The 20,740-nt window shown below is 61.0% G+C and overlaps 1 protein-coding gene across 3 annotated transcripts, besides 12 other annotated features; it reads left to right on the forward strand.

Moving 5' to 3' along the window:
• Positions 5-20,088, forward strand: GRK2 (G protein-coupled receptor kinase 2). Of its 3 annotated transcripts, none has more exons than NM_001619.5 (21): positions 5-344; positions 10,804-10,880; positions 12,732-12,805; positions 12,950-13,051; positions 13,158-13,232; positions 13,371-13,432; positions 14,264-14,315; positions 14,625-14,716; positions 14,991-15,090; positions 15,182-15,260; positions 15,354-15,484; positions 15,803-15,897; positions 15,967-16,074; positions 16,284-16,350; positions 16,660-16,760; positions 17,239-17,305; positions 17,386-17,481; positions 17,743-17,905; positions 18,379-18,515; positions 18,607-18,720; positions 18,818-20,088. In NM_001619.5, the coding sequence occupies exons 1-21, from the start codon at positions 232-234 to the stop codon at positions 18,980-18,982; spliced, it is 2,070 nt and encodes a 689-aa protein (NP_001610.2). In that variant the 5' UTR covers positions 5-231; the 3' UTR covers positions 18,983-20,088. The 3 variants fall into 3 exon arrangements, 2 of the variants coding, with proteins under 2 accessions (NP_001610.2, XP_011543075.1); XM_011544773.2 differs by lacking the exon at positions 5-344 and adding an exon at positions 728-1,380; XR_007062455.1 differs by lacking the exons at positions 17,239-17,305; positions 18,379-18,515; positions 18,607-18,720; positions 18,818-20,088 and having other exon boundaries at positions 17,743-17,879.
• Positions 1,524-1,573: an enhancer, noted in NCBI's record as "active region_5076". NCBI's record gives its function as "activates an Ori minimal core promoter by ATAC-STARR-seq in GM12878 lymphoblastoid cells {active_cell/tissue: GM12878}" and the evidence as "EXISTENCE:reporter gene assay evidence [ECO:0000049][PMID:35858748]".
• Positions 1,914-1,963: a silencer, noted in NCBI's record as "silent region_3620". NCBI's record gives its function as "represses an Ori minimal core promoter by ATAC-STARR-seq in GM12878 lymphoblastoid cells {active_cell/tissue: GM12878}" and the evidence as "EXISTENCE:reporter gene assay evidence [ECO:0000049][PMID:35858748]".
• Positions 2,274-2,333: an enhancer, noted in NCBI's record as "active region_5077". NCBI's record gives its function as "activates an Ori minimal core promoter by ATAC-STARR-seq in GM12878 lymphoblastoid cells {active_cell/tissue: GM12878}" and the evidence as "EXISTENCE:reporter gene assay evidence [ECO:0000049][PMID:35858748]".
• Positions 3,930-3,979: an enhancer, noted in NCBI's record as "active region_5078". NCBI's record gives its function as "activates an Ori minimal core promoter by ATAC-STARR-seq in GM12878 lymphoblastoid cells {active_cell/tissue: GM12878}" and the evidence as "EXISTENCE:reporter gene assay evidence [ECO:0000049][PMID:35858748]".
• Positions 3,990-4,109: an enhancer, noted in NCBI's record as "active region_5079". NCBI's record gives its function as "activates an Ori minimal core promoter by ATAC-STARR-seq in GM12878 lymphoblastoid cells {active_cell/tissue: GM12878}" and the evidence as "EXISTENCE:reporter gene assay evidence [ECO:0000049][PMID:35858748]".
• Positions 4,583-5,547: an enhancer, noted in NCBI's record as "H3K27ac-H3K4me1 hESC enhancer chr11:67038522-67039486 (GRCh37/hg19 assembly coordinates)". NCBI's record gives its function as "activates a minimal SCP1, AML or CMV promoter by ChIP-STARR-seq in naive H9 embryonic stem cells {active_cell/tissue: H9 hESC(naive)}" and the evidence as "EXISTENCE:reporter gene assay evidence [ECO:0000049][PMID:30033119]".
• Positions 5,071-5,210: an enhancer, noted in NCBI's record as "active region_5080". NCBI's record gives its function as "activates an Ori minimal core promoter by ATAC-STARR-seq in GM12878 lymphoblastoid cells {active_cell/tissue: GM12878}" and the evidence as "EXISTENCE:reporter gene assay evidence [ECO:0000049][PMID:35858748]".
• Positions 5,548-6,512: an enhancer, noted in NCBI's record as "H3K27ac-H3K4me1 hESC enhancer chr11:67039487-67040451 (GRCh37/hg19 assembly coordinates)". NCBI's record gives its function as "activates a minimal SCP1, AML or CMV promoter by ChIP-STARR-seq in naive H9 embryonic stem cells {active_cell/tissue: H9 hESC(naive)}" and the evidence as "EXISTENCE:reporter gene assay evidence [ECO:0000049][PMID:30033119]".
• Positions 10,502-11,115: an enhancer, noted in NCBI's record as "H3K27ac-H3K4me1 hESC enhancer chr11:67044441-67045054 (GRCh37/hg19 assembly coordinates)". NCBI's record gives its function as "activates a minimal SCP1, AML or CMV promoter by ChIP-STARR-seq in primed H9 embryonic stem cells {active_cell/tissue: H9 hESC(primed)}" and the evidence as "EXISTENCE:reporter gene assay evidence [ECO:0000049][PMID:30033119]".
• Positions 10,547-10,596: an enhancer, noted in NCBI's record as "active region_5081". NCBI's record gives its function as "activates an Ori minimal core promoter by ATAC-STARR-seq in GM12878 lymphoblastoid cells {active_cell/tissue: GM12878}" and the evidence as "EXISTENCE:reporter gene assay evidence [ECO:0000049][PMID:35858748]".
• Positions 11,116-11,729: an enhancer, noted in NCBI's record as "H3K27ac-H3K4me1 hESC enhancer chr11:67045055-67045668 (GRCh37/hg19 assembly coordinates)". NCBI's record gives its function as "activates a minimal SCP1, AML or CMV promoter by ChIP-STARR-seq in naive and primed H9 embryonic stem cells {active_cell/tissue: H9 hESC(naive and primed)}" and the evidence as "EXISTENCE:reporter gene assay evidence [ECO:0000049][PMID:30033119]".
• Positions 11,317-11,526: an enhancer, noted in NCBI's record as "active region_5082". NCBI's record gives its function as "activates an Ori minimal core promoter by ATAC-STARR-seq in GM12878 lymphoblastoid cells {active_cell/tissue: GM12878}" and the evidence as "EXISTENCE:reporter gene assay evidence [ECO:0000049][PMID:35858748]".

The following is a 20,740-nucleotide window of genomic DNA, read 5'->3' on the forward strand; positions in this document are numbered from 1 at the left end:
CTGCAGTCCCGGCGGGAGCGGAGCGCGAGCCGGGGCCGGGCCCGAGCCGGCGCCATGGGGCGGCGCCGCCTGTGAGCGGCGGCGAGCGGAGCCGCGGGCGCCGAGCAGGGCCAGGCGGGAGGCGTCGGCGCCCGAGGCCGAGCGAGCCGCGGCCGGGCCGGGCCGAGCGCCGAGCGAGCAGGAGCGGCGGCGGCGGCGGCGGCGGCGGGAGGAGGCAGCGCCGCCGCCAAGATGGCGGACCTGGAGGCGGTGCTGGCCGACGTGAGCTACCTGATGGCCATGGAGAAGAGCAAGGCCACGCCGGCCGCGCGCGCCAGCAAGAAGATCCTGCTGCCCGAGCCCAGGTGAGGAGAAGCTGCCCGCGGCCCCGGCCCGACCCCGCGGGCGCCCCGGCCGCGGCCCCGAGACCCTGGCCCCATGCTCGACCCCGCGACCTGGACCCCCGGGGCCGGCTCTCGCAACCCCCTGTCGGCCCCCCAGCCCGGAGCAGCCCGGCCTTGGCGCCTGCGGGTCCAGACCCTAAGCCCCAGACCCTGGGCGCCTGAGCCCGGAGCGCCCCAACTCCGGAGCTCCTCTGCCCCATCGGTCCCCGGACCCAGTCGGGTCCCCCTGGCCGCCCTGCTGCTTCCTTATCGTGCTCCACCGGCCCCCCGAAGTCGCTGTCAGCCCCTGGCTCCCGCCTTCTCCCACGGGGGCCCGGCGCGCCCCTTCATCCTTCTCGGAGCAGCCCTTGGTCCCTGTGGGGTCCCCTCCCCTCCGCTGGCCACCATTTACCTCGCCTGACGATGTCACCCACCCTTTTGCTGTCCCTGCTCACGGCACTCGCTTTAGGGTTTCCACTACCCCCACCCGTCTCTCCTCCAGTCTACACTTGTGTGAGGTGTTGGGGGACAGCCAGTCTTCCGGACTCTTCTCCCACCCTCTGGTGGGGTCGCTGTCCTGGAGTTGGGCTCGAGAGTGCTTTCAGGGCGGCGTGGTGAGCAGGACCTAGGGTGCTGCGGGCACCCTCCCCCTCGGACCGCGCTCAGGTCGGGGAAACATCCCCTGTGCCCTCTCCCCTACATTTCTCCTCTGGCAGGCCCTGCATATGGTGCCCCGTGGGTGCTGTTGACCAGGGGCCCTCCCAGCACACCTGCAATGGCTGGACCTTAGCTGCCGCCTCTGTAAGACAACTGACATCACACCTGGTATCAAAGTTTAGACTGTTCAGGATGTAGGTGCAAAAGTACACAGGATGTGGACGATTGCTGCGGTTTGTCCAGCATTTTATGGCTGATAGAGTATCTCTCCACTGTGTGAGCCTCTCAGCAGCGCATGGGGTGGCGAGGACAGGTGTGGTTTTGTCCCTGTGGAACAGATGGGGAAACTGAAGCTCCAGAGGTGAGTGGCCTGCCCCGAGTCACACAGGTAGTCCCAGGTGGCACCTGGCCAACAGATCAGGGCTTCAGACTTCTGGTTCTACATTTCATCAGCTACCCTGGCCTGTGCCAGGGAGCAGACGTGCCCGCCACGATTCTTTGTGTCGTGTGGCAACTCCTTGTGCATGCCTGAGAGTTGGCCTCCTCCTGGTGCCCCAGCGGGCTGGGGATGGGGCCTGTCCACACTGCCGTGGTCTTATCTTGTGACTCTGGGTAAGTCTCTTCCCTCACTGGGCCTCGGTCTTCTCATCTGTGAAATGTGGATGGCGTGAAATAAGAGCTGTGACTCTGCGGTGTCCCTCAGCCTTTGAAGCAGCCGTCTAAGCTCTGGCTGACGCTGCAGGGGTGCCCCATGCCCATGGCCCTCACCGCCCCCCTGTGCCATGCCCTGCTCACTGGGTGTTTGGATTGACTGAACGTCAGGCCTGGGAGAGGAAAATTGGTCTGCATTTTGAAAAGGCCGTTAGGGCCTTTTTTTTTCTAAGACATTTGCAATCAGATTTCTCAAAACAGGAACCAGACTGACTGTCAGCTGGGGGCTGTCCAGGGAGCAGTGACGGTTAGTACAGAAATGAGTTCAGAAATGACAAACCCACGAGGGAGGAAACGGGGGAGTCAGCCTCTAGGGCTCAAAACGGCTCTCCTTGGTGGCTGCAGCCTCGAGACCCTCCTGCAGGATGGAGTTCTGCAACTGTGAGGCGGGGCCTTTTCTGGAACTGTCTGCGTTCGGGTAATCTCCCCCCAGAATGCATTGCTTCTGATGGGGCGCCGCCTTGGCTCTGCAGGTGTCAGAACCCTGAGAAACGAGATGGTCTTCTTTTCCTGTCCCCTTTCCCATCCATGGTAGTGATGGCGGTGATAGCAATAATGATAGGAATTATTACTGACTTACCTATTTTGATATCTGTCATCTCAGTTCTTCCAGCAACCAACCTGTGAAGCTGGCAAGGCCATGCCTTGCATGTAGTAGTTGCTCAAGAAATACCAGGACTGTGTGGCACCCCCATGCAGTCCTGAGCAGAAACAAGGTTGGATAGGATTCTAGGAGGACAGCAGGAGGCCGAGCCAGGCAGCCCAGGTTTTCACATTGGGTCACCATCAGCAGCATGGCCTTCCGCAAATCGCCCACATCTGTGAAACGGACTGGAGGTGCGAGCGCCGAATGTCAGTGCGCTAAGGCCTGGGAAGGGCTACTGGCCACCCCTACATGGGGGTCCAGGCCTGGGGCATTAGGGAGCAGGCCACCCTTTGCATAACGCCTTGCCTTGCACACCCAGTGGGGCAGAGCACGCCGCCCCCCGCCCCCCGCCGCCCCAGTGGTGATCCTGACCATGTTTCATGTTTGCCTGACACTTTTCCACTTGCAGAGTGCTTTTTACTCTGTTTTGTCCTTTTGACAACTGTGAGAGGCAGGCCCAGCAGTTAGGATTCTCCCCTTTAGCAGTTGAAGTTATTGAGGCTCAGGGAGGGGAGGAGTCGTGTCCTCGTCACAGAAGAAAGCTGGAATGGGGCCTCGGGTTTCTGGACCACACAGGCCAGTGCTGTTTCTTTGCTGTGCTTTATCCCCTCCACCCACCCCTGCACACCACTGTTCTCGCCTCTGTCCACATTTTGCGGTGTGGGCTGACTGGCACCCCTTGTCTGGGGCCATCGGCTGTCACAGTTCACAAGGCTCAGCCCTCTTCCCGTTGGCTGGGATGGAGAACTGAGCTGCCGTGGCAAAGCTACTGCACCGAGGGGCAGCCCCACTCCAGGGTCCCGTCAGATGCAGGAGCCTGTCTTCCCCATACCCACAAGGTCAAGGTCAGAGTCAGGGAGAGGGGCTGTGGCTTGTCCCAGTGACAGGTTGCCACTGGGAATTGTTCATACCTTGAGGTGGCCCACCTTGGCAGCCCCTCCATGGCTGGTGCCTGGGGATGTGTCTTGGCCAAGAACTGGGGCTGGCATCACAGCTCTGAGTTCCAAAGGCTAGGGAATGGGAGTGGTTAGGCACAGTGCCACACTGAGTTGGCACAGGGGCCTCCCCTTCTGTCACCCTATAGAATCCAAGGAAACAGTCCCTTTCCCCGACCTTCTTGTAGAAGGAGGTAGCGTAAGGCAGCATTGTGTATCTGGAAGATGGGAGGTCTGGCTTCTCCCTCTACCACCAGCTCACATGGGACCCAGGCGAGTCCCTTAGCCCGACTGGACCTGCCTCAGTTTCCACCTCTGTAAAACGAGGCGGCTGCCCCTTCACTCTCAGGGTCTGTGGTCTGGGCCTTGCCCTGAAGGAACTGCTGTCTCCCTTTCCCAGCAGCCAGCAGTCTTGTAATTATCATCATTTGCTTAATATGACCACTGAGGCCTCGTGTAATTAATCTCTGGGCTCCTAGCTGAGGAGCCCTGCCTGGGCGCTCCCAGGAGGTTCCTCTGCCCTCCCCGGTGACAGTGGCAGCCCCAGCAGCAGATTGTCGGAGCTGGGTGCCTCTTGCAGCCTCCCGATTTCTTGGCTGTTTCCTGGTCCCTCCCCCACCGAGAGTTTCCTCCTTCCTGCCCCTTTCTGGCTTCCCTGTCTCCCCAGACCCTGCCCCTGTTCCTCCGCTGCCTCGTTCCTGTTAACTCTTCGCAGCCAGAACTTCCTGCCCTCGATTTGTGGGGGAAGGGGTGCAGCGGGAAGCTCTCTCCCTCCCTCCTTCCTTCACTCCTGCAGCACCAGCTGAAACCCTGCTGCTTCCAGCCTTTGTCCCTTACCCAGAACTTTCCACTTCAGTGGCAGCGTTCTCCCAACTCCTTTCCCTGCAAACAAGATGATCTTTCCTGCAGTCACTCCCTCTGGGCCTTTGAAGCACCGCCGTTCCCCAGGAATGGGTCTCTGGGATGTCTTTCCCGTCTGTTTTCCTTTCCAGAGCATGCGTTTCACTTATTTGCCATTAAGTCGCCCGCCTGCCGTTACCTGGGTAAATGGATTTGAAGGGAGTGTGAGCAATGCAGGTTGGAATCTGTGCAGGGGAACCTGGGCTGTTAACCCAGAATGAGGTGTCCTATTAATGCACAATCAATTCCTAGTAGTAAGTTCCCGGTGACGTCAGGTACAGGAGCGCTCCGCAGCCAGTGTTTCCTCCCCGTGCCTAGGTTGCACCCAGGTGGGCTTGGCAGAGGGACTGAGTGCTCAGGCTGGTGGGTTTGGGCTCCACGCGCTTGGCTGTTGCTTTCAGGGTATGCTCTTGCCTCGGAACACACAGTGGGAACCAAAAGCACAGTGTAGCCCTTGAGGATGCACAGCCTCCCTCACACCTGCCCCTTCTTCCTGGGCCCCTTCCCTACTCCCCGCCGGCTCCCCATGGGTCAGTTTCCACTGCTGGATGGAGCTATATTCACGTTATTTCTACTCTGCTGCAACTGAGATACTAAAAATGAGGTGTTTGACTGCAGCTTTTTTCTAAAACAGTAATATCCCTTCTCTGCTTTGCTGTTTACTGCAAAAGGACGCGTCTATGCTGGCAGAAGTGGGTTTTCTGGTATTAACATGTTGGCAGCTCTGTTCCCAGGTGGGGGCAATTTTCTGACTCTAGAGCCATTTCGTGTTTGGGATGGGGGATAACCCCCTCCTGGAAACCACAGGGCATGGAATTCTGGAAGTTTGTTCTTGGTGCATTCTAGCGTAATGCAGATTACGGTCTCCATGTCAGCAGTAAATTGCAGGGTGTGGGTGCTCATGTCATATTTGTGAAGAAGCCGTGACATTTGACAAGGCCGCCAGAGTGCCTCTTCCTGAGCATCCCCGCAAGGGAGCTGCTTTGTGGCCGACACGACGTTCCGGAGCCCAGGCTGCTGCAGACCCTGGCTGTGTGTGCGGGGCCAGCTGGCTTTTTCTCTCCCCTGCTCAGGGCTTACCTTGGACCTGCCGGTTTGGGCTGGCCTTTCCTATTTGATCTGTGGCCCCGTCCTTGTTCGCCCCAGGGAGAGTCATTGAGAAACATTAAGAAGCCCCAGGGGACTTCCTTCTGCTGCTGGCACCTTGGTGTCTGGTTTCCTGGAAATGCCACAGGGAGCACCTCGGCCACAGCCACAGGCCCTGCTGCACTGGTTGGTGAATGCTCGCTCATCTCCCAGGGGACGGTTCCCAGAGTGGCCGCACCAGACCTGCCAGGCCTGTAGCCTTCATGCCAGCTTGCACCGTCCTGGCGTGGCAAAGCTTTAGCATCACTGTCACATGAGGGGCACAGGAAGCATGGCCCCTGGCTGCCAGCTGCCAGCCAAGGCTGCCTCCCATCCTGGGTTCCAGGGAAGGGGGCTGCTCGTCTCCTACAGCTCCTGGTCAGGGACGGGAGGGCAGCCAGGCCAGAGGCTGGGCACAAGTCAGGGTCCTCTGAGCCCTGCACCCAGCTCTTCCACAGAGGTCAAGGGGGGGATGGAGGGTGCTCTAGTGGAGGCCGTTTCTCAGGGAGCCTTTGGACATTTTCTTTGCCACGAACTCATTGTGGGCCTCGGAGCACGTGGCCCAGCCAGCTTCCTTGCCATCAGCAAGAGTGTGTTTGTCTCTGACTTGTCACCCCCTCCTGTCCACACAGCTACAGCCTCTGACCCCGAGCAGGAGACACCTAAGAGAGCCCAGGCCACAGAGGATGGCCTGGACTTTGCATTTCTTCTGAACCATGAGGTGCCAGAAGGGACCGGAAGTGCTCCCTCAGCACCCACTCCTTCCCTGTCACCCAGTGCTCAGTGCTGCAGCTGCTCACTGTCTTGGGCTGAGCCTGCTCCGGGAGCAGTAGGAGCTGGTGCAGGCCGCTGTAACTGCAGGGGTGCCAAGGTGGGACTGACTGCTCCTTCCCAAAGCTGGGTGGGCACCAAGTACCTCTGTGCCAAGGAGCCCTTGATACTTTGGCAGGGCAAGCCACGGGCTCTACCCACTGGGCCCGCAGTAGAGCAATGCAGTGCCTGAAGCTGGTCTGTGAGCAGAGGAGTCCCACCCTGCTCGGCTCAGCCCTGGCCACAGGCCCCATCCTCCAAGGCCCCATCCTCTCCGAGGACACGGCAAATGTGGAGCAGAGGCTTGAGCAAGACCAGTTACTGTGTGATTCTAGCATGGACTGTCGGTGAGCCGTGGGGCACTGAGAAATGGGGCTCTGGCGGCTCTCTCCCATGGCCCAGCAGGCGGGGCACGGCGGGCAGCATGGCCAGCCTGGCATATTAGAAGCCCTCCTTCTGCCGTGTCCACCCAGGCTTTGTAAATGGCCAGTGTGACGGTGGCGATTCAGCATCTCATTGACATCCTCATTTTACAGCTGGGGAAACTGGACATTTCAAGTTTGTGACCAGGTGGTGAGGGCCACTTGGAACCCAGGCACCCGTCCAACGGCCAGAGCAAAGGCAACTCTGAGGCCCTTGCCCAAAGGTGTTGGGAACCTTAGCGTCCTTCCATCTGGGACTGTTGAGGCCGCTTGGTTCTCCTGATGCTCCAGAGTAGATCTTGGGAGCCACGTTCCCCCGGATCTCAGGGTTGCTGACCTGGGTGGGGGACAGGGACACGCTCTGGGCTCACTGCCACTCCAGACTCTGCCAGTATCAGGGAGCAGTGTTGGAGACAAGGTGACCCAGTCCAGGAGGCTGTCCCACCCCTGTGCTCGCCCGTGCTTGCCACCCTGGCAGGAGCTGCCCCCAGTGGCAAGTTCTTCCAACCTGCCAGTTCCCTTGGCGGCCAGACCCATGGGAATAGACAGGAAACCCTAAAATTGCCACTTTGGGGGCCTTCCATTCAAGGACTCTGCTCAGGCCTGACCTCGTGTTTGGTTTCTTGCTTGGGGGGAGGGGGGTTGTTTATTTTATTTAAAAAACATTTTTTTCTTTTTAAGGAAGAAAGTGGAGTGCTGTGGGCTGGGAAGAATGTGGTGGCCATGCCCAGGCGTGGCTGCTGAGGGGAGAGATGGCCTCAGAGCCCCGGGTCCTGCTTCCTGCTGTTCCCAGGCCGGGGCTGACAGCAGAGCCCCTGGGAAGGAGAAAGGGCCTGCCCGGCAGGTTCCCCTGGCTGTCGCAGGCAGGGAACCAAGCATGCTTCCCCCTTGGAGACTTTGTGTGTCCAGTTGAAAAGTGGCAGTGGCTACTCCCTGGCTCCTAGGTGGCCATTCCCTCTGCCAAACTGGCACCTTTTTTTTTTTTTTTTTTTTTGAGACAGAGTCTCACTCTGTCACCCAGGCTGGAGTGCAGTGGCACGATTTTGGCTCACTGCAACCTCTGTCTCCAGGGTTCAAGCGATTCTTCTGCCTCAGTCTCCTGAGTAGCTGGGACTACAGGCGCACGCCACCATGCTGGGCTAATTTTTGTATTTTCAGTAGAGACGGGGTTTCACCATGTTGGTCAGGCTGGTCTTAAACTCCTGACCTCATGATTCGCCCGCCTCGGCCTCCCAAAGTGCTGGGATTACAGGCGTGAGCCACCGCGTCCCGCCAAGCTGGCACCATTTTTGCAGGCTCCTAAGAAGCAAGTCTGGGGCTCAGTGGGGCTTACTGCTGAAGCCCGGTGGCCCCCATTCCTGGGACAATGCCCGGCTCCTGGTGGGTGACCCCTACAGGCTGGGATTGCTTTGCCTGTCATCTGCATCTGCCTGTCGCTACCTTCCGCTTGACCAGCACCTTTTTTTTTTTTTTTTTTTTTTTTTTTGCTTTTTTTCATCCCCTTCTGTGGACCAAAATGTCCTGGCCCACCTCCCAGGTGAGATGCAGGCCCCTGACCTTGGGGTTTTCTCCACGTTCCAGTCTCCCAGTGCACAGCCTGTGCCCTGAGGGTCGCCCAGGGCCCAGGCCTCCTGTCTGCAGGTGCCAAGGGCAGGGACCGTGTCTTTCTCAATTCAAGAGATTTTTATGAAGCCCTTGCTGTGTGTGAAACACCACAATCTCCGTCCACCGTTTCCTGTGTCCCTGGGAGTCCCACATGCCGGGAAACATGTCCTTGACGGTGGCTGGTGGACATGAGCTGGCGTGTGGCCCGAAGGGGCGGGTGTGCTGGTGTGGACGCGGGGCCCATCCTCGGAGCTCCTGTCAGTTCTCAGAGGGCATCCTCACTCCCCGGTGGGGGGCATGGGCCCCCCTCTTCCCATCCAGGCAGGGTCTGTTCCAAAGCAGTCATAGGATGCGAACTCAGGGTCACCTAGGCCCATCCTTGTCTTCAGTGCCCTGCTTCCTGCTGGAGACAACTTTGGAAGAGGCCGCGGCCCCTCCCAGCCTCTGAGGGTGGGGAGCAGGCCAGGGGGTCGCGGCCTTGGAACCGTGCTCATGGCAGCCCTGCTGTGCTCGTGCTATCTCGCTCGGCCTTTCCTGAGGAAGGCTGGAACCAAGTGAGATCAGGGGCCGAGGCCCGGGAGTCCACTGCAGCCCTTCCTGGAAGGACAGTGCCCAGTGGAAGCGGATAAGAGCCCCCTCTCGAGGCCGAGGTCAGAGGCCAGGCAGGGTCCACAGGCCAGGTCCGCACTGTCTGGAGCTGCTCTCCGCAGACGGCTCTTCTGGCTGAAGCTGCCATTCTTCCAGACCCTCGGGCCCAAAGCCTGGAAGCCCTCACGGGGCTGGCCTCATAACCCTTCTCCCGGTCCCCGACAGCCTGAGCCTTCTCCCACCCACCCCCTTCCCCTTCTTCCTGCCCAAGTGTTGCCTCTGCCTGGGCTTCCTCCGCGTGGCGCCTCCAGTGGAGTCGGGCCACCCACCGCCCTGGACCAAGCCTCCTGAGTCCTGCTCTCCTGCCCACTCCTTGGCTGTGAAGCCCCCTGGTTTGCAAGGCCCTGCCCTCCGCCTCACCATGGCCTTTGTGTGCCCTCTCTCCTGCCCCATTGGCCCCTTGCTCATCCCTGGACATACTGTCCCCTGCCTGTTCCCACGTCTACCGACCCCCCTGGCTTCGCCAGCTGCCGAGATCCCACTTGCACTCCAGGAACCCAGTGGAGTTCCACCTTCTCCACACAGGCTTTCCAGACCCAGAGGCCTCCTCTCCTTCCCAAGGCTTCTGCACACGCTGTCTGGTATCACAGGCTCAGAACCATGCCCTGGGCAGGGCTGTTTGGAGCAGGGGGTGGCTTTGGCATGAGGTACACAGTGCCTCAGGGGTAGATGTGCAGCGGGTCCTCGTGACCACAGCCTGGGTGGCCAGTCCGACCAGCCCTGGGCTGGGCTCCTAGGGGCAGGCAGGGCCGGGGTGCAGAAAGGCAGGGGCCATGGCAAGCACAGAGAACCTGGACTTGCGGATCCAAATCTCCACCAGCTGCAGTCATTTCACGGGAGGCCTGCTGGTGGCCCCATAGACCTGCAGGGCCATGTGAGCGTGACATGGGCTCAGGTGTGTTGTCCCTTCAGGCCCCCAGCCTTGCAATGCCCTCAGCATGGCAGCTACACGTTACCCCAGGAGCCCAGACTAGTGAGGACCAGATGCAGGCCTCAGCTGGCTGTTGGGACAGACCGGCAGGGCTGGGCTTGAGGTGGGCCAGGAGAGGGCAGGAGGGGACAGTAAGGTGGTATTTGAGGCCGGGAGTGTAGCCTGGTGTGGCGCTCCCAGACAGCACTCAGTGTGGGGTGAGATAAACAGGGTGGGGGATGTCGGGTTGGGTTTTGAGGGTCACAATGGCCAGGCCCTCCCCTATGGCCATACCAAGCAACCCAGGGCAGGGGTCACATTTTATATCCAAGTACTAGGGACACACGAACCAAGGCATGGCCTTTTCTTACAATTTAAAAAATTGAGATGCAATTCATATAAAATTCATCATTTTATTATACAATGTAGTGTTTTTTAGTACATTGACCGTGTTGTGCAACCCTTACCCCAAAAAGAAACCCCGTCCCCACCGCAGTCACTCCTCTCCCTCTCTCCAGCCCCCGGCAGCCACGGATCTGCGTTCTGTGTCCGTGGATCTGTTCATATGAGTGGAATCTCACAATATGTGGCAACCCTTTGTGACTGGCTTCGTTCAGCCTCATGTTTTCAAGGCTCATCCACGTTGTGGCCCCTGTTGGTGCCTTGTTCCTTTTTACAGCCGAGCCATGTGCTGCTGCGTGGAGATGCCACATGTGTGTCTTTTCATCCGCTCACAAACCAGGCTTGGCTTTTGTGACTTGGCCAAGTTCCCAAAGCCAGCCGGTGGCATCACTGGGACGAGACCCCACAGGCGGTGGGCCTCTGAGCAGGGGGCCACCTGCCGGCCACCCTGGCCTTTGAGGACACAGCCTGGCGGGGGCGGTGCAGGCAAAGGCTTCCTTGAAGCCTTCTGGTCTGACCTGTGGCTGGGATAAGTGAGTAGGCCTGACGGGCTGGCCTCCTTCCTGGAGGGAGTGGCGACACCACCACAGTGCCCTCAGCTCGCGTTTCTGGGCCTGCAGCCCCCACGGGCTCTGGGGGCTTCTGCTTACTGCGCCCCCCTGACCCACAGCATCCGCAGTGTCATGCAGAAGTACCTGGAGGACCGGGGCGAGGTGACCTTTGAGAAGATCTTTTCCCAGAAGCTGGGTGAGTATGGCAGTGGCTCTGCCAGCCACCGGACTTAACTTCTTGCCCCTACCCCAGCCAGCCCAGCTGTGCTCCCCACTCTCCAGAGATTTGGCCTCCCATCCACTCAGGGTGGAGCAGCCAGCGAGACCCCAGGGCTTGCTCCAAGTCGCTGCGACCCTGCGTGCCTCCTTGCCCCTGGCTGTCGGCCCAGGGAGCCCCGTGGTGGGGGTGGGGGCCCAGAGTCTTCCAGGGCCGCCAGGGAAGTTCCTCCTTTGGGGTTTTTGTTTTTGAGAGTTGCAGCTTCCCCTTGGCGCGGCCGCAGCTGCTCTGGGCCGTTGGTAGAACTGACAGGAAGAGGCGGGGCCCTTCCTGTGGCGCCTGCCGAGCTGTGGTTGGCCCCGCCCCACCCCATGGGCCCTCTTTGTAAGCAACCTGCCTGGTGTTGGCCCTCCATTCCTCCTCCAGCTGGTGTCTGATGCCTGCTGTCAGAAGTTTCATGTGACCCACCCTGCGGACCTGGCCCGGAGGGCAGGCTTGGGGCAGGTCTCGGGAAGCAGGCTCCAGCCCCACATGGCTCTGATTTGGCCTTCCCGAGAACAGGAGCTCAGCTCTGGACAGGGGGTATCCTGGCCTGATGGGATCAGGCATTGGGGGTCAGCCTGGGGGAGTCGGTGTGTCAAGAAGCACAAAGTTTGGGTCCCAGGCCTGTGCCTTTTGTCCTTGGGCAAGTTGCTTCACCTCTCTGAGCCTGATGGTGTCCTCATCTGGGAGATGGGACTCATGAGTCCGACTGTGCAGGCCTGTCAGAGTCAGATGGGAGCACTGTGCCCACTGTGAAGCCTGGCCCCCATTCCTCAAAGGCCCTGCACTAAAGGCCAGGCAGTGAGGACTGAAATGATGGCCGCAGCTCTGACCCAGGTGCCCAGGCAGTGCCCCCGAAGGCATGAGAGGCCACCCAGCTCGAGCCTGGTTACCCGTGTCAGACTGGAGGCCTGAGGAGGGCCTCTGTCCCCTGGTAGTGCTCGGGGGCCGGGGTCCAGGGTCCAGGCCCCTTACTCAGGCATGAGGACACCCTATCTGGGGTCCCCTGAGAGCCCCTCCCACAGCCCACCTTGCCTCTCCAGTTCCCTGTGGCTTACACCCGTTCCATGCCCCCTGCCCTGAGGCCCCAGCCCCAACCTCTTTCCCAGGGACCTGCCATTTGGTGGAGTAGCCCTGAGTTCCACTTGAGCCTCTGCCACAGACAGTGTGTCTGACCAGCTCCCTGAGCCCTAGTTTCCCCAACTGGACCCACCCTCCCTGCCTGTTTCTCAGGCTGCTGTGCAAATCAGCCAGACACTGGAGTGGGGCAGGGTCCAGAGGAGTGGTGTGGCCTCAGAGCCCCCTGCTAACCTTTTCCCCATGCTGCAGCCTGACCTGGCCCCGGTGGCCACAGCATCCCAGGGCCCCCAGACTGAATCGTGTTGCACCTGCACAGCCCGCCCCGGTGGGGGGTATCGGCCTCACAGAGCAGGCGCAGGGCCCTGGGCTGCAGTGAGTGGGGGCCCAGGTGCTAAGCCAGGGCTCCCTGATGCCAGAGCCAACCCCGCTCCTCTGCCTCACCCTGGTGCCCATCGCCGTCCAGCTACCACCTGGGGAAACAGATTTCAGGAAGAGGGTAGAAACACAGGGGCCCCAACCCAGAATCCAGGAATCTTCACGTTGGCAGCAGCCTTAGCAGCTGCCTGGCCCACCCCTTGCCTGGGGCCGAGACCACCTTTGCCACCTCCATAGCCAGTTCTGCCCAGGGAGCCCAACCCACACCATCCACAATGATGGGAAGGCCTCTGAGAGAGGCGTGGCTCTGTGACCTTACACTGTTGCCTTCAGGGTACCTGCTCTTCCGAGACTTCTGCCTGAACCACCTGGAGGAGGCCAGGCCCTTGGTGGAATTCTATGAGGAGGTGAGACCCAGAGGCCCAAGCCCTGCTCTGCCTGGAGAAAGGGGAGGAGGTTGGGGCGGCTTTGTGGAACCCACAAGCTGCCTGGTGTGGGCATCCCCATTCCCTGCTGGGCTCTAGATGACCTGCAGGAATCCTGTCCTCCAGATCAAGAAGTACGAGAAGCTGGAGACGGAGGAGGAGCGTGTGGCCCGCAGCCGGGAGATCTTCGACTCATACATCATGAAGGAGCTGCTGGCCTGCTCGCATGTGAGTGTCCTCAGCTGGCCCTGTGTGCTGGCCCAGAGTCACCTGCAGATTGGGAGGGGAAGAGAGGACCCTGCTGAGAATTCATGGCCACCTCTGTCTTCCCCAGCCCTTCTCGAAGAGTGCCACTGAGCATGTCCAAGGCCACCTGGGGAAGAAGCAGGTGCCTCCGGATCTCTTCCAGGTGTGTGCCTCCCGGTCCCTCCCCAGGCAAGGTCACCTTGGACAGCCCCTGGTCAACAAGCCTGGTCAGCCAGGGGTGGGGCCTGGGCAACCACGGTCTCTCGGGGCTCAGTCACCAACTTCCAGCTTCCTCCCTTAGCCATACATCGAAGAGATTTGTCAAAACCTCCGAGGGGACGTGTTCCAGAAATTCATTGAGAGGTGAGAGCAGGGAAGTGTGGGAGAGGAAGGGGGAGGGAGGGGCCGCTCTCAGAAGGGGTATGGCTGGCGTGGAGGGCAGAAGCCAGCCTTCATTAGGCCCTGAGCAGGCAGGTGGCTGGCCCGTCAGCGGCCCCCTTGCAAGGACTCCTGAGAAGTCAGACAGGCTGCAGGTCATCTCCCACCCTGCCCTCCTCAGCACCAGGCAGCTCAAAGCCCATCCCAGGCAGTCTCCTAGCTCCAGGGAGCTAGGAGAGCTGTGCCACCTGTGCCTCTTTCTCTCCCGTGGGCTGTATAGCACCTTGCTGGCCCACCTGGACTGAGAAGCATCAGAGTCCTGGTAGGGGTAGGCCCAGTAGAGCGCATGGCCCCCGTGACCCTCACAGCCAGAGTTGGCGCGGTGGGTGGGAATTGTAGGTAGATTTCAGCCAGCTTTAGGGAGCAGCTGTTTTAGGGTCACTGCTGCCCAGCCATGGAGTGAGCTCTGTGTCACTGGGGGTATGCAAGCAGGGACAGGAGACGTACTTGTCAAGGATATGGTAGCAGGAAGTCTGGGTTAGACTGGAAGACCTCCTTTCTGTGCGGATCTGATTCCAGCAGGAAGCCACGGCCAGGTGGCCGAGGGCCATGCTGGGCACCCAAGCAGCCCTGACTGGTGCTGTGGGCGGGCAGGCCCTCAACATATCCTTCCTGGAAGAGGACATTAACGCTCGTGATGTTTCCACACCTACCCTCACGGGACCCCAGGGAGTGGCGGCTGGGTGGGGAGGCTCACGACAGCATCATCCTTCCCACATTCTGAGTGGCCCCTGAGCCCTGATTCTTCTTTTCCAGCGATAAGTTCACACGGTTTTGCCAGTGGAAGAATGTGGAGCTCAACATCCACGTGAGTGGGCTTGGGTGGGGCATGGAAAGCCACGCACCCTGCTGCTCCTCTCCCGGGAGCTGGGCCTGTGGCTTGGCTGGGAGGGGGAGGTCAGGGGATGTCTGTCCTTTAGCCCCCAGGGCCGTGGCTATGGGGGTCAGGGCCGGGATCCCAGCATGGGGAGGCCGGAGCAGGTAAATATGTGGCAAGGATGGCCAGGACATGGGTATGGGGACCCTGGCATGGGGCCAGCCCCTGCTGCCCAGGTGCCTCTGCCCCAGGGCTGGGCAGAGGCAGCCTGTGGTGACCGCAGCTGTCGCTGCCCCTCAGCTGACCATGAATGACTTCAGCGTGCATCGCATCATTGGGCGCGGGGGCTTTGGCGAGGTCTATGGGTGCCGGAAGGCTGACACAGGCAAGATGTGAGCACCCTGCTCGGCGCGGTGGGATACCTCGGGGAGCCGGGCTCCTGGGGGACCCTGACAGGCCGGGTTCCACACAGGGCCACCTGCTGCTCCATGCACTCCTGTCTTGCCGTGCTGTTACCCCCGCAGGCTCCTCTGGCCCCAGCCCTCCCTGTCTCTGATTTGTGTCACACGCTGGTCCTGGGTCTAGTCTTTCCCTCAAGCGCCCCCTGAGGCAGCCCTGGGCCCCTGCTCTGAGGGTGGGTGTTGACTGCCGACCTCTGCCCCGTAGGTACGCCATGAAGTGCCTGGACAAAAAGCGCATCAAGATGAAGCAGGGGGAGACCCTGGCCCTGAACGAGCGCATCATGCTCTCGCTCGTCAGCACTGGGGTGAGCTGGGTGGGCCGGGCTGCCGCTGAGGCTCTGGAACCCCGGGCGCCCCTGCTAACTGCCCGCCCCCTCCCCTCCTCTCCCCTCCTAGGACTGCCCATTCATTGTCTGCATGTCATACGCGTTCCACACGCCAGACAAGCTCAGCTTCATCCTGGACCTCATGAACGGTGAGTGCTGGCCGGGCCCTAGGGTGGGCCGGGCCCAGGCACGGGAGGCTGGGGCAAGACACTGAGTGCTGCCTGTGGGACTGCCTCCCTCAGGTGGGGACCTGCACTACCACCTCTCCCAGCACGGGGTCTTCTCAGAGGCTGACATGCGCTTCTATGCGGCCGAGATCATCCTGGGCCTGGAGCACATGCACAACCGCTTCGTGGTCTACCGGGACCTGAAGGTGAGCGCCCCTGCTGTCCCCAGGCTGGACCTCCGTGGCTGTCCTCTCCTTCCTCTCGACATCCCGGCCACCAGGCCCAGAGGAGTGGGGCTCCTGGGACATGGCCGCCCCGTATCTTCCCATCTCCGCCCCTGCCCTTCCCACCGAGCCACTCTCTGGGTCCAGGTTGTAGCTGGGGACAGGAGAGAGGACCCCCACCTTTGCCCTTTCTTTGGGTACCCATCGTCCTCTCCAGTGAAGCAGTGACCCAGCTGGCATCTTGCCTGGCTGGGCCCCATCCTGAGCTGCCCCAGGCAGCTCACTGGGCTTCCTTCACAGCCAGCCAACATCCTTCTGGACGAGCATGGCCACGTGCGGATCTCGGACCTGGGCCTGGCCTGTGACTTCTCCAAGAAGAAGCCCCATGCCAGCGTGTGAGTGCCCCCCACCCTCTCCCTCCCCACCCCTTGCCACTCCCGCTTATGGCCCCCTTGCTCCCACAGGGGCACCCACGGGTACATGGCTCCGGAGGTCCTGCAGAAGGGCGTGGCCTACGACAGCAGTGCCGACTGGTTCTCTCTGGGGTGCATGCTCTTCAAGTTGCTGCGGGGGTGAGTGGCCCATCCCAGGTGGGCAGGTGGGTTGGGGCTAAGAGAAGTTCCTCCCCAATCCAGGTGGGATGCCAAAGGAGGGGAGCCCATAGCTGCCTTGGTGGTAGGGTTGGCACCGTCCCTGACTTTGGCCACAGCTCATCCATGCTGCCTGCCTCCCTTTCCCCATTCCTGTCCTTTGACATTGGTTTTTGGCCTTTCTTGCCCAGGCACAGCCCCTTCCGGCAGCACAAGACCAAAGACAAGCATGAGATCGACCGCATGACGCTGACGATGGTGGGTGCAGGTCTCAGTGCAGGGCCGCAGGGGGCTGGGGGGAGCTCCTGTGGGTGCCAGGCCATGACTCTTGCTTCCCACCAGCCAGCAGAGATCTGGGCCACTGACCCCTACTCTGGCCTCTGAGACAGACCTCCTGCCCCATAGGCTCTCGCCCTCCCCGTGCTGTTGGAGCATGACTGCTGGGCGAGCTAGGATGCTGTGCCCCATCTGTCCCTCTGCGGGGGCCTGGACCCCTCTCTCCCCTGAGCTGGGATGGGGTCAAGGGCTCTTCCTAAGCCCCTGCTAATGTCCCACTCCTCTCTAAAGGCCGTGGAGCTGCCCGACTCCTTCTCCCCTGAACTACGCTCCCTGCTGGAGGGGTTGCTGCAGAGGGATGTCAACCGGAGATTGGGCTGCCTGGGCCGAGGGTGAGTACCCTGGCGCCTTGGGCATGCTGCTGGCTGTGCCCCCATGAGGACAAGGGCTGTGTCCCGTCACCTGGAACCCCCTCCAAGGTCCCAGCCTCCTTGGAGGAGCTCATAAGTTGGGGCATGGCCAGCCCTGTCCAATGTTCTCAGAGTGGAGGGGCTGCCCTGGGAGTTGGAGCTGCTGGAACCAGCTAGTAACTGGCTTCCAGAGGGGCCCTTGTCACAGATGATGATGATAGCAGCTTTTTATGTTTATCAAACATTTATTAAGCACTGGGCATAGGGTTGCAAAATTTACCAGTGTTAAAACCCACAACCCTACGATGTAGGAACTTCTGTTCTCCCATTTGAGAGATGAGGAAACAGCTCAGGCTTAAGGAACTTGCCCAAGTTCACAGAGCCAGAAAGTGGCTCAATCAGGAGTTAAGCCCGGGACTCAGGGTGGGGCTGAGCCCAGATGACTGGCCTCTCCCCACAGGGCTCAGGAGGTGAAAGAGAGCCCCTTTTTCCGCTCCCTGGACTGGCAGATGGTCTTCTTGCAGAAGGTAACAGTCTGCGGCAGGGACTGGGGGTGCTCTGCAGCCCCACCCCCGAGCTAATGCCCATGACCCCTGTTCTGCTGCAGTACCCTCCCCCGCTGATCCCCCCACGAGGGGAGGTGAACGCGGCCGACGCCTTCGACATTGGCTCCTTCGATGAGGAGGACACAAAAGGAATCAAGGTACTGGGCCTTGCCTGGCCTCTTGTACCTAGGCTGTGATCCTGGCCTGGGGAAGGATCCCTCTCCCTTCTTATCACCTGTGAGACCCTGTGCCAGCCCTGCCAGCTTGTAGGCCTCAGTTCCTCCTTGGCCAACTTCCCTGGGGGGTGGCAGTTGCACTGACCATCCCTACCCAGGGCCCTGGGTCTGGGCAGCCTGTGGCTGATGGTATTCCGGCATCTCTGTCCACCCATGTGCCCCTGCCCCATCCACCTGGTAAAGTTACTGGACAGTGATCAGGAGCTCTACCGCAACTTCCCCCTCACCATCTCGGAGCGGTGGCAGCAGGAGGTGGCAGAGACTGTCTTCGACACCATCAACGCTGAGACAGACCGGCTGGAGGCTCGCAAGAAAGCCAAGAACAAGCAGCTGGGCCATGAGGAAGGTGAGGGTCGCCGGCTGCTGCGGCACCAGGCCCCTGCCTGCTTAGAAGTGAGCAGCTGGCTCGGGTTTAAGGAACTCACCCTGGATCACAGCCAGAAAGTGGCGGCTCTGGGATTCAAACTCAGGCTGGGGCCGGGCATGGTGGCTCACGCCTGTAATCCCAGCACTTTGGGAGGCCAAGGAGCGCAGATCACTTGAGGTCAGGAGTTTGAGACCAGCCTGGCCAACATGGTGAAACCCTGTCTCTACCAAAAAATACCAAAAAAATTAGCCGGGCATGGTGGCACGCGCCTGTACTCCCAGCTACCCGGGAGGCTGAGGCGGGAGGATCGTTTGAACCTGGGAGGTGGAGGTTGCAGTGAGCCAAGATTGTGCCACAGCCCTCCAGCCTGGGCAACAGAGTGGAGACCCTGTCTCAAAACAAAAAAGAAACCCAGGTGGGGCCGGCTGAGTCTCCTCTGTCTCTCGCCTCAGACTACGCCCTGGGCAAGGACTGCATCATGCATGGCTACATGTCCAAGATGGGCAACCCCTTCCTGACCCAGTGGCAGCGGCGGTACTTCTACCTGTTCCCCAACCGCCTCGAGTGGCGGGGCGAGGGCGAGGCCCCGGTAAGGAGCCCGTGCGGGGGTCCGGGAGCCGGGCTTCCGGGTGGCTGGCCGGCCCGGCTCTTACCTGCACCACCCATCCCTGGCCCTGCAGCAGAGCCTGCTGACCATGGAGGAGATCCAGTCGGTGGAGGAGACGCAGATCAAGGAGCGCAAGTGCCTGCTCCTCAAGATCCGCGGTGGGAAACAGTTCATTTTGCAGTGCGATGTGAGTGGGGGCTGAGCCAGGGATGGGAGGGCCGAGGGGCCAGGCCAGGCAGGCTGGGGAGAGCCCCAGCTGACAGAGCTGGGCTTGGCATGTGCAGAGCGACCCTGAGCTGGTGCAGTGGAAGAAGGAGCTGCGCGACGCCTACCGCGAGGCCCAGCAGCTGGTGCAGCGGGTGCCCAAGATGAAGAACAAGCCGCGCTCGCCCGTGGTGGAGCTGAGCAAGGTGCCGCTGGTCCAGCGCGGCAGTGCCAACGGCCTCTGACCCGCCCACCCGCCTTTTATAAACCTCTAATTTATTTTGTCGAATTTTTATTATTTGTTTTCCCGCCAAGCGGAAAAGGTTTTATTTTGTAATTATTGTGATTTCCCGTGGCCCCAGCCTGGCCCAGCTCCCCCGGGAGGGGCCCGCTTGCCTCGGCTCCTGCTGCACCAACCCAGCCGCTGCCCGGCGCCCTCTGTCCTGACTTCAGGGGCTGCCCGCTCCCAGTGTCTTCCTGTGGGGGAAGAGCACAGCCCTCCCGCCCCTTCCCCGAGGGATGATGCCACACCAAGCTGTGCCACCCTGGGCTCTGTGGGCTGCACTCTGTGCCCATGGGCACTGCTGGGTGGCCCATCCCCCCTCACCAGGGGCAGGCACAGCACAGGGATCCGACTTGAATTTTCCCACTGCACCCCCTCCTGCTGCAGAGGGGCAGGCCCTGCACTGTCCTGCTCCACAGTGTTGGCGAGAGGAGGGGCCCGTTGTCTCCCTGGCCCTCAAGGCCTCCCACAGTGACTCGGGCTCCTGTGCCCTTATTCAGGAAAAGCCTCTGTGTCACTGGCTGCCTCCACTCCCACTTCCCTGACACTGCGGGGCTTGGCTGAGAGAGTGGCATTGGCAGCAGGTGCTGCTACCCTCCCTGCTGTCCCCTCTTGCCCCAACCCCCAGCACCCGGGCTCAGGGACCACAGCAAGGCACCTGCAGGTTGGGCCATACTGGCCTCGCCTGGCCTGAGGTCTCGCTGATGCTGGGCTGGGTGCGACCCCATCTGCCCAGGACGGGGCCGGCCAGGTGGGCGGGCAGCACAGCAAGGAGGCTGGCTGGGGCCTATCAGTGTGCCCCCCATCCTGGCCCATCAGTGTACCCCCGCCCAGGCTGGCCAGCCCCACAGCCCACGTCCTGTCAGTGCCGCCGCCTCGCCCACCGCATGCCCCCTCGTGCCAGTCGCGCTGCCTGTGTGGTGTCGCGCCTTCTCCCCCCCGGGGCTGGGTTGGCGCACCCTCCCCTCCCGTCTACTCATTCCCCGGGGCGTTTCTTTGCCGATTTTTGAATGTGATTTTAAAGAGTGAAAAATGAGACTATGCGTTTTTATAAAAAATGGTGCCTGATTCGGCTGTCTCAGACTCTTTTTGTACCTGGTGACCCCTTTTCAGCTTCTGCTGGGCTGGGGCCTGATGGGGAGGGTCTCGGTGGTACCAGGTCTCCTCCACCGCCATGGCTTCCAAGGTGGTCTGCTCGGGCCCAGGCCATCTTCCAGGTGGGGTGAGGCAGTGGGTCCCACTTCCCCTCCTACCCCTCCCAGCTGACAGTCCTCTCCACCTAGTGGCTGTCCAGTGCCCATTCCTCACCTTTTCCCGGGGAGGAGAGAGCAGCTTCTGCCACTTCCCAGGTAAGCAGGAGGAGGTGCCAACAGTGTTAGGCCTGGCACAGTGTCTGGGCTGACTGGGACCGTCTCAGGCCCACAGAACACCCCTGCACAGCAGGCACCAAGCTGAGGCCCCTCCCCAGAAACAGTCACAAGGCACCTCTTCCCTCTAGGTCACACCGCAGCCTCTGGGCCCTTGGCCATCTCTGGCTTCAGCCTCCTCTCTGGCCTCACTGCACAGCCCTAGTAGGGGTCCCTGAGGCCTGAGGGGAACCCCAGCACTAGGCCTCTCCTCTACCCAGAGGCTTCTGGTCAACTTCCCTTTCCCCAGGTCCCTGCCCTAGCCCCGCGGGTGACTAAACAGATACATGTTGCTGCCCACTCCACACAGGGCT

Source organism: Homo sapiens, chromosome 11 (assembly GCF_000001405.40).
Source record: "Homo sapiens chromosome 11, GRCh38.p14 Primary Assembly".
NCBI lineage: Eukaryota > Metazoa > Chordata > Mammalia > Primates > Hominidae > Homo > Homo sapiens.